Below are 14,472 nucleotides of genomic sequence, written 5' to 3' on the forward strand. Positions count from 1 at the left end.
CCCCAATCTAGCAAGGCAGGCCAACATTCAGATTCAGGAAATACAGAGAACGCCACAAAGATACTCCTCGAGACGAGCAACTCCAAGACACATAATCGTCAGATTCACCAAAGTTGAAATGAAGGAAAAAATGTTAAGGGCAACCAGAGAGAAAGGTCGGGTTACCCTCAAAGGGAAGCCCATCAGACTAACAGCGGATCTCTAGGCAGAAACCCTACAAGCTGGAAGAGAGTGGGGACCAATATTCAACATTCTTAAAGAAAAGAATTTTCAACCCAGAATTTCATATCCAGCCAAACTAAGCTTCATAAGTGAAGGAGAAATAAAATACTTTATAGACAAGCAAATGCTGAGAGATTTTGTCACCACCAGGCCTGCCCTAAAAGAGCTCCTGAAGGAAGCGCTAAACATGGAAAGGAACAACCGGTACCAGCCGCTGCAAAATCATGCCAAAATGTAAAGACCATTGAGACTAGGAAGAAACTACATCAACTAACGAGCAAAATAACCAGCTAACATCATAATGACAGGATCAAATTCACACATAACACTATTAACTTTAAATGTAAATGGACTAAATGCCCCAATTAAAAGACACAGACTGGCAAATTGGATAAAGAGTCAAGACCCATCAGTGTGCTGTATTCAGGAAACCCATCTCACGTGCAGAGACACACATAGGCTCAAAATAAAGGGATGGAGGAAGATCTACCAAGCAAATGGAAAACAAAAAAAGGCAGGGGTTGCAATCCTAGTCTCTGATAAAACAGACTTTAAACCAACAAAGATCAAAAGAGACAAAGAAGGCCATTACATAATGGTAATGGGATCAATTCAACAAGAAGAGCTAACTATCCTAAATATATGTGCACCCAATACAGGAGCACCCAGATTCATAAAGCAAGTCCTGAGTGACCTACAAAGAGACTTCAACTCCCACACATTAATAATGGGAGACTTTAACACCCCACTGTCAACATTAGACAGATCAACGAGACAGAAAGTCAACAAGGATACCCAGGAATTGAACTCAGCTCTGCACCAAGCGGACCTAATAGACATCTACAGAACTCTCCACCCCAAATCAACAGAATATACATTTTTTTCAGCACCACACCACACCTATTCCAAAATTGACCACATACTTGGAAGTAAAGCTCTCCTCAGGAAATGTAAAAGAACAGACATTATGACAAACTATCTCTCAGACCACAGTGCAATCAAACTAGAACTCAGGATTAAGAATCTCACTCAAAACCGCTCAACTACATGGAAACTGAACAACCTGCTCCTGAATGACTACTGGGTACATAACGAAATGAAGGCAGAAATAAAGGTGTTCTTTGAAACCAACGAGAACAAAGACACAACATGCCAGAATCTCTGGGACGCATTCAAAGCAGTGTGTAGAGGGAAATTTATAGCACTAAATGCCCACAAGAGAAAGCAGGAAAGATCCAAAATTGATACCCTAACATCACAATTGAAAGAACTAGAAAAGCAAGAGCAAACACATTCAAAAGCTAGCAGAAGGCAAGAAATAACTAAAATCAGAGCAGAACTGAAGGAAATAGAGACACAAAAAACCCTTTAAAAAATTAATGAATCCAGGAGCTGGTTTTTTGAAAGGATCAACAAAATTGATAGACCGCTAGCAAGACTAATAAAGAAAAAAAGAGAGAAGAATCAAATAGACGCAATAAAAAATCATAAAGGGGATATCACCACCGATCCCACAGGAATACAAACTACCATCAGAGAATACTACAAACACCTCTACACAAATAAACTAGAAAATCTAGAAGAAATGGATAAATTCCTTGACACATACACTCTCCCAAGACTAAACCAGGAAGAAGTTGAATCTCTGAATAGACCAATAACAGGATCTGAAATTGTGGCAATAATCAATAGCTTACCAACCAAAAAGAGTCCAGGACCAGATGGATTCACAGCCGAATTCTACCAGAGGTACAAGGAGGAACTGGTACCATTCCTTCTGAAACTATTCCAATCAATAGAAAAAGAGGGAATCCTCCCTAACTCATTTTATGAGGCCAGCATCATTCTGATACCAAAGCCGGGCAGAGACACAACCAAAAAAGAGAATTTTAGACCAATATCCTTGATGAACATTGATGCAAAAATCCTCAATAAAATACTGGCAAACCGAATCCAGCAGCACATCAAAAGGCTTATCCACCATGATCAAGTGGGCTTCATCCCTTGGATGCAAGGCTGGTTCAATATATGCAAATCAATAAATGTAATCCAGCATATAAACAGAGCCAAAGACAAAAACCACATGATTATCTCAATAGATGCAGAAAAGGCCTTTGACAAAATTCAACAACCCTTCATGCTAAAAACTCTCAATAAATTAGGTATTGATGGGACATATTTCAAAATGATAAGAGCTATCTATGACAAACCCACAGCCAATATCATACTGAATGGGCAAAAACTGGAAGCATTCCCTTTGAAAACTGGCACAAGACAGGGATGCCCTCTCTCACCGCTCCTATTCAACATAGTGTTGGAAGTTCTGGCCAGGGCAATTAGGCAGGAGAAGGAAATAAAGGGTATTCAATTAGGAAAAGAGGAAGTCAAACTGTCCCTGTTTGCAGATGACATGATTGTATATCTAGAAAACCCCATTGTCTCAGCCCAAAATCTCCTTAAGCTGATAAGCAACTTCAGCAAAGTCTCAGGATACAAAATCAATGTGCAAAAATCACAAGCATTCCTATACACCAACAACAGACAAACGGAGAACCAAACCATGAGTGAACTCCCATTCACAATTGCTTCAAAGAGAATAAAATACCTAGGAATCCAACTTACAAGGGATGTGAAGGACCTCTTCAAGGAGAACTACAAACCGCTGCTCAAGGAAATAAAAGAGGATACAAACAAATGGAAGAACATTCCATGCTCATGGGTAGGAAGAATCAATATTGTGAAAATGGCCATACTGCCCAAGGTAATTTACAGATTCAATGCCATCCCCATCAAGCTACCAATGCCTTTCTTCACAGAATTGGAAAAAACTACTTTAAAGTTCATATGGAACCAAAAAAGAGCCCGCATCACCAATTCAATCCTAAGCCAAAAGAACAAAGCTGGAGGCATCACACTACCTGACTTCAAACTATACTACAAGGCTACCAAAACAGCATGGTACTGGTACCAAAACAGAGATATAGATCAATGGAACAGAACAGAGCCCTCAGAAATAACGCCACATATCTACAACTATCTGATCTTTGACAAACCTGAGAAAAACAAGCAATGGGGAAAGGATTCCCTATTTAATAAATGGTTCTGGGAAAACTGGCTAGCCATATGTAGAAAGCTGAAACTGGATCCCTTCCTTACACCTTATACAAAAATCAATTCAAGATGGATTAAAGACTTAAATGTTAGACCTAAAACCATAAAAACCCTAGAAGAAAACCTAGGCATTACCATTCAGGACATAGACATGGGCAAGGACTTCATGTCTAAAACACCAAAAGCAATGGCAACAAAAGACAAAATTGACAAATGGGATCTAATTAAACTAAAGAGCTTCTGCACAGCAAAAGAAACTACCATCAGAGTGAACAGGCAACCTACAAAATGGGAGAAAATTTTTGCAACCTACTCATCTGACAAAGGGCTAATATCCAGAATCTACAATGAACTCAAACAAATTTACAAGAAAAAAACAAACAACCCCATCAAAAAGTGGGCGAAGGACATGAACAGACACTTCTCAAAAGAAGACATTTATGCAGCCAACAGACACACGAAAAAATGCTCACCATCACTGGCCATCAGAGACCTGCAAATCAAAACCACAATGAGATACCATCTCACACCAGTTAGAATGGCAATCATTAAAAAGTCAGGAAACAACAGGTGCTGGAGAGGATATGGAGAAATAGGAACACTTTTACACTGTTGGTGGGACTGTAAACTAGTTCAACCATTGTGGAAGTCAGTGTGGCGATTCCTCAGGGATCTAGAACTAGAAATACCATTTGACCCAGCCTCCCATTACTGGGTATATACCCAAAGGACTATAAATCATGCTGGTATAAAGACACATGCACGTGTATGTTTATTGCGGCATTATTCACAATAGCAAAGACTTGGAACCAACCCAAATGTCCAACAATGATAGACTGGATTAAGAAAGTGTGGCACATATACACCATGGAATACTATGCAGCCATAAAAAATGATGAGTTCATGTCCTTTGTAGGGACATGGATGAAATTGGAAATCATTATTCTCAGTAAACTATCGCAAGAACAAAAAACCAAACACTGCATATTCTCACTCATAGGTGGGAATTGAACAATGAGATCACATGGACACAGGAAGGGGAACATTACACTCTGGGGACTGTTGTGGGGTGGGGGGAGGGGGAAGGGAAAGCACTGGGAGATATACCTAATGCTAGATGACGAGTTAGTGGGTGCAGCACACTAGCATGGCATATGTATACATATGTAACTAACCTGCACAATGTGCACATGTACCCTAAAACTTAAAGTATAATAAAAATAAATAAATTAAATAAAAAAAGAAGAAAAAAAAAGCCCAAAGTAGACAGAAGAAAGGGAATGTAGCCCAAAATGAAAATCAATTAAATAAAAAACAAAAAATAGGGGAAACCAATATAACCAAACACATGTTCTTTGAGGAGCTCAATAAAACTAAATCTCTAGTGATATGATCAGGAAAAAGAGAAGATACAGATGACCATATGAGAAATGAGAAAGGTGATACCAATAAAGATTCTACAGTTCTTAAAAGGATAAGAGAATATTATAAATGACATTATGCAAATAATTGGACAACTTAGATAAAAATGGACACATTTCTTGAAAGACAAAAACTACCCAAGCTTATTCAAGAAGAAATAATTAGAATAGCCTAATATCTATTTAAAAACAATTTATAGTTTTAAAACTTTACCACCAAGAAATTCCAGGCCCAGATGGCTTCACCAATAAGTTCTATAAGACATTTATGAAAAAAAATTACTTCTACACAATCTCTTCTAGAAAAGGATAAAGGAGAGACTATATCCCATCTCATTCCATAAACAGTGGAATTACCGTGATACCAAAACAGACAAGGACATTACAGGGAAAGAAAACTACAGACCAATAATCTTTACAAACATTGATGCAAAAGTTTGAAGCAATATTTTAACAAATGGAATTCAAACAGTATAGTAAAACATAAACATTATGACCAAATATTTATGGTAAAAGTGAAGGGATGTTTAACATTAAAAAAGAAAAACCATATGATCATCTCACTAGATGCATAGAAAGTATTTGATACAATCCAACACCATGGAAAAAAGCCAACTTTTTGTTTGTTGATCTATATTTTTTGGTCTCAATTTCATTTATTTTTCTCTGATCTTTATTGTTTCTTTTCTTCTACTAATTTTCAGTTTGTTTTTTTTTTCTTGCTTTCCTAGTTCTCCTTGAGATACGTTGTTAGATTGTTTACTTGAAGCTTTTCTTTCTTGATATAGGTATTTATTGCCATAAACTTCCCTTTTAGTACTGCTTTTTTTTGTGTCCCAGAGATTTTGGTATGTTGTGTTTCCATTTCCATTTGTTTCAAGACATTTTTAAATTTTCTTCTCAGTTTCCTCACTGATCCATTGGTTGCTTGGAACTGTGTTTCTTAATTTCCATGTGTTTGTGTATTTTCCTAAGTTCCAAGAATTGATTTCTGGTTTTATTCCAATGTGGTCACAAAAGTACTTGACATAATTTTTACTTTTTTGATATTTGTTTTGTGGCTTAAGAGAGAGTCTATTCAGGAAAATGTTCCACGTGCTGATGAAAAGAATGTATATTCTGCAGCAATTGGGTGAAATGTTCTGCACATGTCAGGCCTCATTGGTCTAATGTGCAACTTAACTCTGATGTTTCTTCGTGATTTTTGTGTCTGGTTCATCTGTCCATTACTGAGAATAGGATGTTAAAGTGCCCTACTACTGTACTGCAGTCTATATCTCTGTTTAAATCTATTCGTTTGCTTTATATACTTGGGAGCTTTGGTGTGGGGTGTACAGATATTTATAATTATTATATCTTCTTGCTGAATTGACCCCTTTATCATTATATAGTGACCTTCTTTGTCTCTTTTTATAGTCATTGATTTGTAGTCTATTTTATCTAAGTATAGCTACTCCTACTCTTTTTTGGTTTCCAGTTGAATGGAATAGTTTTTCTATCCCTTCACTTTCAGTCTGTATGCCTTTGTAGGTGAAGTGGGTTTCTTCTAGGCAGCATATAGCTGGATTTTGTTTCCTTATCCCTAAGCCACTCTATGCCTTTAAATTGAGTATTGAGTCCATTTACATTAAGTATTATTATTGAAAAGAAGAATTTATTTCTTGTTTTTGGGTTGTTTTATAATTTGTCTCTTCCTTTTGTCCTTTATTACTATATTCTTTTGTGGTTAAGTAATTTTCTTTGGTAGTATATTTTAATTCATTGCTTTTTATTTTTTGTGAATCTATTATAGGTTTTTGCATTGTGGTTACATGAGGCTTACAAAAAACATCTTACAGCTATAACAAGTTACTTTAAAGAGATGAATACTTACCTTGAATCACAAAGGAAAGAATAGAAAAAAAGAAAGAATAGAAACAAAGAAAAAATCTCTAGACTGGAACTCCATCCTTCCATATTTTGACTGTTAGTTTTCTCAATTTACGTATTTTTATACTGCCTATCTCTTAGCAGACTGCTATAGCTATTACTGTTTTTGATAGATTTGTCTTTTGGGATTCACGCTAGAGTAATGAGTGGATTGTATACCACAATTACAATTCTGGGTTTTTCCATGTACTTAATTTTACCAGAGGTTTTATACTTTCAGGTGTTTTCTTTTTGAACATTAGTGTTTTTTTGTTTCAGATTGAAGAACTCTCCTTAGCATTTCTTATAAGATAGGTCTCGTGGTGGTGAATTCTCTTAGCTTTTGTTTGGGAAAGATTTTATCTCCTCATATTTGAAAGATAGCTTGGCTGGATACACTATTCTTGGATAGCAGGGTTTTAACACATTAAAAACATTGTCTCATTACCTCCTGACCTACATGGTTTCCACTGAGAAGTCTGTTGCTAGACAAATTCTTTTCTCTCACAGTTTTTAGCTTCTTCTCTTTGTCCTTGACCTCTGGGGAGCTTAATTATTATACGAGTGTTTCTCACTTCTCTGTGGCCTCAGGAATTGTCTCATCCTCATATTTGAGTTCTGAGATACTGCTGATGATAATGATAATCTTGGCACTGTATATTTGTTTTTGTTTTCTGGGGTGGCTGGATAGGGATTGAAGACATCTTGCTTCTACACCACCATTTTTAATAGGATTGCATTTTAACAGAAGCTTTGAACATTTTATTTTGTTCCAAACTGCTCATCATTTTAACATAGTAGGTACTGAATGAAGGATCTGATGAGGTGTTTTTAGACAGTAGAGAAAAATGCTTAGGTATTCTCCACTGTTAAATTGTAATAGGGCATGGGTGATTGATTTTAGGAAACATGGCATAAAGGGAGAGAAAATTTCCTTCATATCTGACCCTCAACTCTGATTTCTTTTAGCCATCTAACAACTTCTATCAACATGTCTTATTACTAGCATTTCAAATTCAGTATGTTGTTCATGTAATAAGTAAGGCATGGTTATATTAATATAAATGAATTGATCATAACTCTTTTATTTTAGTCTTAATATCAACTTTCTTCCTGATCAATTTCTTTTTGCATAGATACTAACAGTCATAAAAATGGATCAATGAAGTAAAAATTTATCTTTCTCCTTCTGTCTTGAACTCAAGAGCTACTAGAAGAAAATATATATATTAGATCCATCTAAATAATTCAACAACGATAAAAAAGTGCCTTGAATAATTGAGTTGACCCTATTAGTAAAGATTATGTAGCATTGTTTACTCTGGCATCTTTGAAGAAGTCACATTTCTTGTTTGGTTCTTTAGACCATTATATCAATTTATTTTAATTGCTCAGAAGATGAAACAGTTATATTTCAATGAACTGATTAGTGTTTTAGATAAAATAATGCATATAACTACAGATTAGAACTTTGTTTTCTGCTGATTTATTGGTCCTACCCCGACAGAAGATACTAAGTAGTTCAAATAAAATATGTACCTGGAGGTAAATTGGCCAACTTCTTCAAGAATCATAGAAAAGTATTTTAAAGTTTTCTGAGTGTAGTTTGAGTGTGCTGTAAGTTTCTTTGAATCACCAAACAAAGAAAGGAAATAATCTTCTCCATCCCCAATCATGGGTGATTCATCCTGTTTCTTCGGAACTGAGAAGGGGCTGGCATCTTTCAAGTAGACAGAAGAAAGAAGTAACCAGGAAAGAAGTAAATAAAATGACATTAAAAGGACCTAAAGCCATTATCTTTATTCTCTGCTTCTACAAAATTATATTTTTACATTTTAATATCACTATCAAACTTAATGAGAATAGTTAGAAGCTTTAAACAAAAGCCTATAAAATAATCAGTAAGTGGATATTTATAGTGACATCTTCAGTTCCTAAAGAGTATTTCAGTTATCTTAAACAATAAATTATATCATTAGAATAATGACTATTTAACTGATTATTTAGTTGTACTAGAAGCATCATCCATTTTGAAATAGGGAAAACATTTTAGTCTGTCAAATTTAGATATGTTACATATAAATATAGCCTTATTCTACTTCATGTATGCTAAAATTCCCAAATGGCTACCCATAAGTTAAAGCCTCATATGAATCCTTTCCTGCAATGGTTAGTACTCTTGCCAGGTAAAGACTTAAACTTCCTCTATTTAATTAAAATACTTTATTAGAAAGATAAAGTCATGCTTAATCAGATTCCAGTGTCCTATTAGAAGTTTGCTCTTTTAAATCCTCACTACTTTGATTCAAATACAATATAGTTTTCATAATTTTAAGCATAAAGAGCCATTCTGGACAAATCTAATAATATATCCGCAAAGGGGGAGTTACATTACAAAGACGCGTCGTGATGAAGTGGAAAGAACAACGTGTCTTGCATTTAGACAGACTTGTAATTATATTTCAGTTCTGCCATTTACTAAGCCACGTGATGTAAGTTTTCCAAGTTTCCGTTTTCCTGAACATAAAATAAAGATACCATCACCACCTTGTGTAAGGAGATAAGAGAGCTGGAGATCATGTAAGTGTCTAGCATAATATTTAATATTTATCTGCTAATAAATGATAGCTATTATTACAGTACAGAGTTTTGGTTAATGTGACTCTCGGTCCAAAATCCTCAAAGGATTAAGACAATCTAGAGTTTAAATCTTACATCTTTAGCAAAACCAAAACAAGGTGAAAGATATAAAGAAATAAAATCATCGTTTTTAAAGCAGATTCCTCAAAGTATTTTGCTGAGAAAAAAAAAGCATTTGGAATTACATTAGTTCATTCTCAGTCAAGTACTTCCTTAATCCTTAAATTCCTTTGGGGAAGGATAATATACAGCATCTTTCTTAACAGCTCATCTTGAGAAATAAAAGCCTTGGTATTCCAAAAGAAAAGAAGACACATTAACTTTGGTCCCAGTTGTTATTTTGTCTAGAACAAAAGATAACAATGAACCAAGTGCAACAAATCTCAGTGAACCTATACATCTATCTAGAGAAGTGGAATCTACAGTAATGGAAGGAGAAGACTACATCCCAATTCAGCTCCCATACCATAAGGGGAAGCCACTGTATTTCATTTTTTTGCCCCATTACAAGGAGCCAAAGTTTAACCCAAATATAGAACATATGCCATGATGATATAATGATGAATGATAGAAAATCTTTTCTTCCCAGATCTAAAATTTGTATTTTCATTTTCAGTATATGGGTTTTGGTCATCCTAAAGGTCAATGTAAACTTAGGAGGTTTCTTGGGAAATTTTATACTTGTCATACAAAAAATGAAACATAGGGAATCTGACCATAATGGCAGGAGAAAAAAAAACCCTATATAACCCATGTCAAAGATTTTTTTAAAATATCAGAAACAAAATGAAATATATTAGAAACAAAATGAAATATAGATGAGGGGCAGCCAGGCTGTAAATGGGCACAGAATGTTAGAGGATAATGGAGGCATCAGATAGTCACTGGACTATTTGTGCTACCAGTTTTGAAACTTGAAACTTGTTAGTTGATTGGCAATTGAAACACAAACCCCAAATCTCATCTATTTTAAAAGAAGGTGCTTACAGGTAAGTTCAGATTCATAACTAATGTTTATTGAGTATTTATTATGTGCTAGGTAATTTTCATAAATATTTAATCTTTAGGATAGCCCTGTGACATTTCTATTTTAATCCCCATTTGCATTTGTGGAAAATGAGATGCAGAGATGTTACGTACTCTACCTGGTGCCTAACATTGTAGAAAAACAGTAGGTCCTGTGTTTCAAAGGATGATAGTGTTTTCAGTAAACCACGGAAACACACCCTCAAAGTTCCCTAAACATGGTGAGAAACAAACACCCTAGAGCATGGGTATTGCTGAGCACATTGTTGATAATAGTCAAAACTTTACTTTTTCTGATCATAGTACTGTTTTCATTTTCCTCTCCTTCAAGTTCTCTTTATTGTTTTACCATTTTCTCTCCATTATTTTATACCTACTTTATGTTACTTCTTTGTCTCATCTACCTGTCTATTCGTTACTTAAGCCATACATCTCGTAAAGGCACAAAATACACAATCCTTCTGGTATTTAATCCTTCTGGTAGTGTTCAGAGGAAGGGCAGTTAATGCTATACATTGGAATTTTTAATTCTCTAGCAATTCTAATGTATGTTAGCGGTCAACTCATGAACCATCATGATAACTCAAGATACCTTAATTATAAGGATGATATATTTGGCACATGCATGTATGTGGCCTGAATTTAATACCCCAGTTCTAGGATCAGTGATGACCATAGTTAAGTTACTTTTCATAAGATGCTAGGAAGTTAGCATTTTGGGGGAGTAATAATAAAACATCATTCTGACTGAGAGTCATATATGCAATCTATTGAAATATAAGCTTTAAAAGTACTCTAAAAATATGGGTTCCATATTTTGCTTACCCAAGCTGTTTTCCACTCTGGAACAGCTACCTACAGTAGCTTTAGAAGTCAATTGTCCAGTTGTTGATATAGTTACTCTACTAATCTGAGGACTAGACAGATAGTAACCAAGAGGCATTCCACTGGAATTTGAAGATGACAATGGCAGTGTTGTGGCAACTGAACCCAACATCTTTGGGGAAAAATGTACTAAAGAATATACTCCAAGTTTGTCTTCTCTTCTGTGTACAAAAAATATAATATAAATAAATAAATAAGAAAGTAAAAGTGGCTGTGAATAAAAGAAGCATGGGCTATTATTATTACCCAGAATTCTGCTTTTCAAAGGTAATATGCATCCAACACAAGCACAATAACATCTTGTATTTCTAGTTTTAACAATCTAAATAAAACACTTTATTATCAATATGTTGTATGCTTTAAAAATATTTGAAAATTAACAAATTTCTATTGTAGATAGTTCTGAAAATGTGTAAGTAGAAAAAAGATAATACTAATCATTACAATGCCACCAACAAGACATTTTACCATCTCCTTCCAGGCTTTTAAATGTACTTTTTACTCTAAGTGGAGACTTTATAAGCCATTTATACCTCCACTTTGATCACTTACCATTATTTTCCCTTTCCGTTATCATAAAATCATGATTATAATTCTGGTTTAATATATCATTGTTTCCTATATGCTTTTCCTTTAATTCTTGTTGCTGCTTAACTAACTTTTCTATATTAATTAAGATTGTTTAGTGAATGTCTGCCTTCAAATAAACTGTACATGTTTGTGTGTGTGTATGTGTATTGGAGGGAATGACAGAATAGAGGGAGAAGAAAGATCATTTTCGTGTACTATTTTTATAAGTGAATCTTACTATGAACAAAGATTTCCTTTTTATATCTAAAGGAACATTTGTTAACTAGTGCACAATCATTTGAACAAGGTTCATAAGCTTCAGTACAATTATTTTACAAGTTAAACAACACTTCATTGACATGAATCCTGAAAAGACTTAGGACGTTTCATTTTATGAGTCACACTGAGGCTCTTCCCAGTGACGTCAAAGCAATTTTTGTGGGTGCATGTGTGTATGCATGCGTGTTCAGTGCTTAAATTGTGAACAAAATCCTCCAATCCAAACCCTTTATTTCTCTGAAAAATGAGACAAATGGCCAGTTCAGCCATCCCCTTTCTGGGGGTCCACATATCTATCCACTATAAGTCAGGAACTAATTATTTTGCCTCCATGAATTATCTCTGTTTTGATCTATTTCCCAAAGCTCTTATAAGATTATGTTAGCCAACCTCTCCTTGTTGTTCTTTCAGGTTCTTACAGGAGAATGAGGGCCTGGAGTTTCCTACTCTGCCATCTTGCTGCTGTCACCCTCAATATCTCTGTTTACCAAGAGGTATTCACAATCATTTTGTTCTACAATGTGAAAGTTCCTTTATCAGAAATCTTATACCTGGAGAGTTTTGTATTCAAAACTAGACTGCTCTTTAATGTGCCTCTCAGCAGACACAGACATCTCAGGCAAATTTTTAAAATAATTAAATGGCATTGGCTTTGAAAATGTCATGATTACTAGCCCAGTGCTTAAGAAGCATGTGCACTTAACATCCTGCTGACACTCCAAGCATTCATATTTGTCAGAAAAGCTCTAACCTATGAAGATACACTATTGAGTATGACCGTAGAGGTAGTGGGAAGGAGACTTTAGAGGTAAACTGTCAGATTACAGATATTTCATCTGTGTTCAACATGAGACAGGATTGTAAGACACGACTTCTCCCTGACATTGACTACAACAGCAGAGAAATGCAGAGAAATGCTTTTCTCTTTCAACATTCCTTACATCTGGGCTTCATAACAGACTGGCTATTCTTTTCAGCATGTTCATTTTATAAGATCTCAATTTTTTTCCTCTAGTAAAACAATAGCACTTTAAAATAAATTTAATTCCACAGAAGACTCCCAAGAAGGCTTAACAAAATCTTTGCAATCACAGAAACCTGTCCTGGAGCTATAGGGTGTTCTTATTTTGGTAGGTGAATAAGAAATTTTTTTCTTTTCTTTTCTTTTTTTATGAGACAGGGTCTCTCTCTGTCATCCAGGCTGGAGTACAGTGGTACAATCATAGTTTACTGCAACCACCAACTCCTGGGTTCAAGTGATCCTCCCGCCTCAGCCTCCCAAGTAGCTGAGACTACAGGCACATGGCACTATGCCTGCTAATTTTGAAAAAAATTTTGTAGACATGTGGTGTTGCTATGTTGCCCGGGCTGTCTCTAATACTCCTGGCCTCAAGTGATTCTTTTGCCTTGGCCTCCCAAATTGCTGGAATTACAGGCATGAGCCACTATGCCTGGCCGAATAAGAAATTTCTAATGGCTGCACACATCTTTGAAAGAGCTGAGACATTTCAGGAACAAACTCGTGTGATACAGCCCATCACCTGAACCTTCCACTTGCCTACCTATTAGTCTTCTTTTGGAAGATGAGAGATTTTTCTCAGTGGTTAGTTAACTTTCCCTTAAGCATAAGTAATTTTCTAAGCCCCTTCTTGGTATCTCACTCCCTCCGTAATTGATTAACATTAAAACAGGGGCAGTTACAAAAGCTCAAGTCTAGCATTTCAATGTTACTTTGGGAGACGCTGCATTGATAATATTGACGACAATCATTTCTCAGAGGACCTCTAAGAACAAATATTTAAAAATGGACTTGGACTGAACAATAAACATAGGACTTGTAGGTCCAAAGTAACAATAGCTTTAAATTATGTATACTCAATAAGTCAATTTTAAAGAAAACATTGGAAAACCAATGGTAATGCTTTAGTTGATGAATGATTTATATTAAATGTAAAAATAGGGATTATAATTTTATATAACATTCTTACGGACATTTCCAAAACCAATATTCTGGTAATTTTTTTGTCCCCAGTTCTGTAAAATAGTTCTAGAAAGAAACTATTTCTGTAAATTGACTTAACATATTAAATGGGAACTTTGGAGGCCAGGCGCGGTGGCTCACGCTTGTAATCCCAGCACTTTGGGAGGCCGACGCGGGCAGATCACGAGGTCAGGAGATCAAGACCACGGTGAAACCTCGTCTCTACTAAAAATACAAAAAATTAGCCGGGCGTGGTGGCGGGCGCCTGTAGTCCTAGCTACTCCGAGAGGCTGAGGCAAGAGAATGGCGTGAAACCGGGAGGCGGAGCTTACAGTGAGCCAAGATCGCGCCACTGCACTCTGTCTGAAAAAAAAAAAAAAAAAAAACGGAACTTTGGCTGGAATCTCAGCTAGGTCTTATACTATGGAG

General features: G+C 35.6%; 1 protein-coding gene across 27 annotated transcripts in view; it reads right to left on the reverse strand.

Moving 5' to 3' along the window:
• LMNTD1 (lamin tail domain containing 1) overlaps window positions 1–14,472 on the reverse strand; it is a 172,497-nt gene that overhangs the window by 62,091 nt on the left and 95,934 nt on the right. For 23 of the 27 annotated variants that reach the window (XR_931277.2, XR_931276.2, XM_011520575.2 and 20 more), the window contains 2 exons: window positions 11,154–11,374; window positions 8,202–8,382 (listed from right to left, as the gene is read on the reverse strand). Coding sequence is in view for 23 of the 27 variants with exons in the window: in XM_011520575.2 (XP_011518877.1) it covers window positions 8,202–8,382; window positions 11,154–11,374 (402 nt within the window). In the remaining 4 variants the exon portion in view is untranslated. Of the gene's footprint in view, window positions 1–8,201; window positions 8,383–9,052; window positions 9,180–11,153; window positions 11,375–14,472 lie in introns of those variants that run through there. The other 4 variants (NM_001145727.3, XM_011520588.2, XM_011520587.3 and 1 more) reach the window with 2 other exon arrangements.

This window comes from Homo sapiens, chromosome 12 (assembly GCF_000001405.40).
Source record: "Homo sapiens chromosome 12, GRCh38.p14 Primary Assembly".
Classification (NCBI taxonomy): Eukaryota; Metazoa; Chordata; class Mammalia; order Primates; family Hominidae; genus Homo; species Homo sapiens.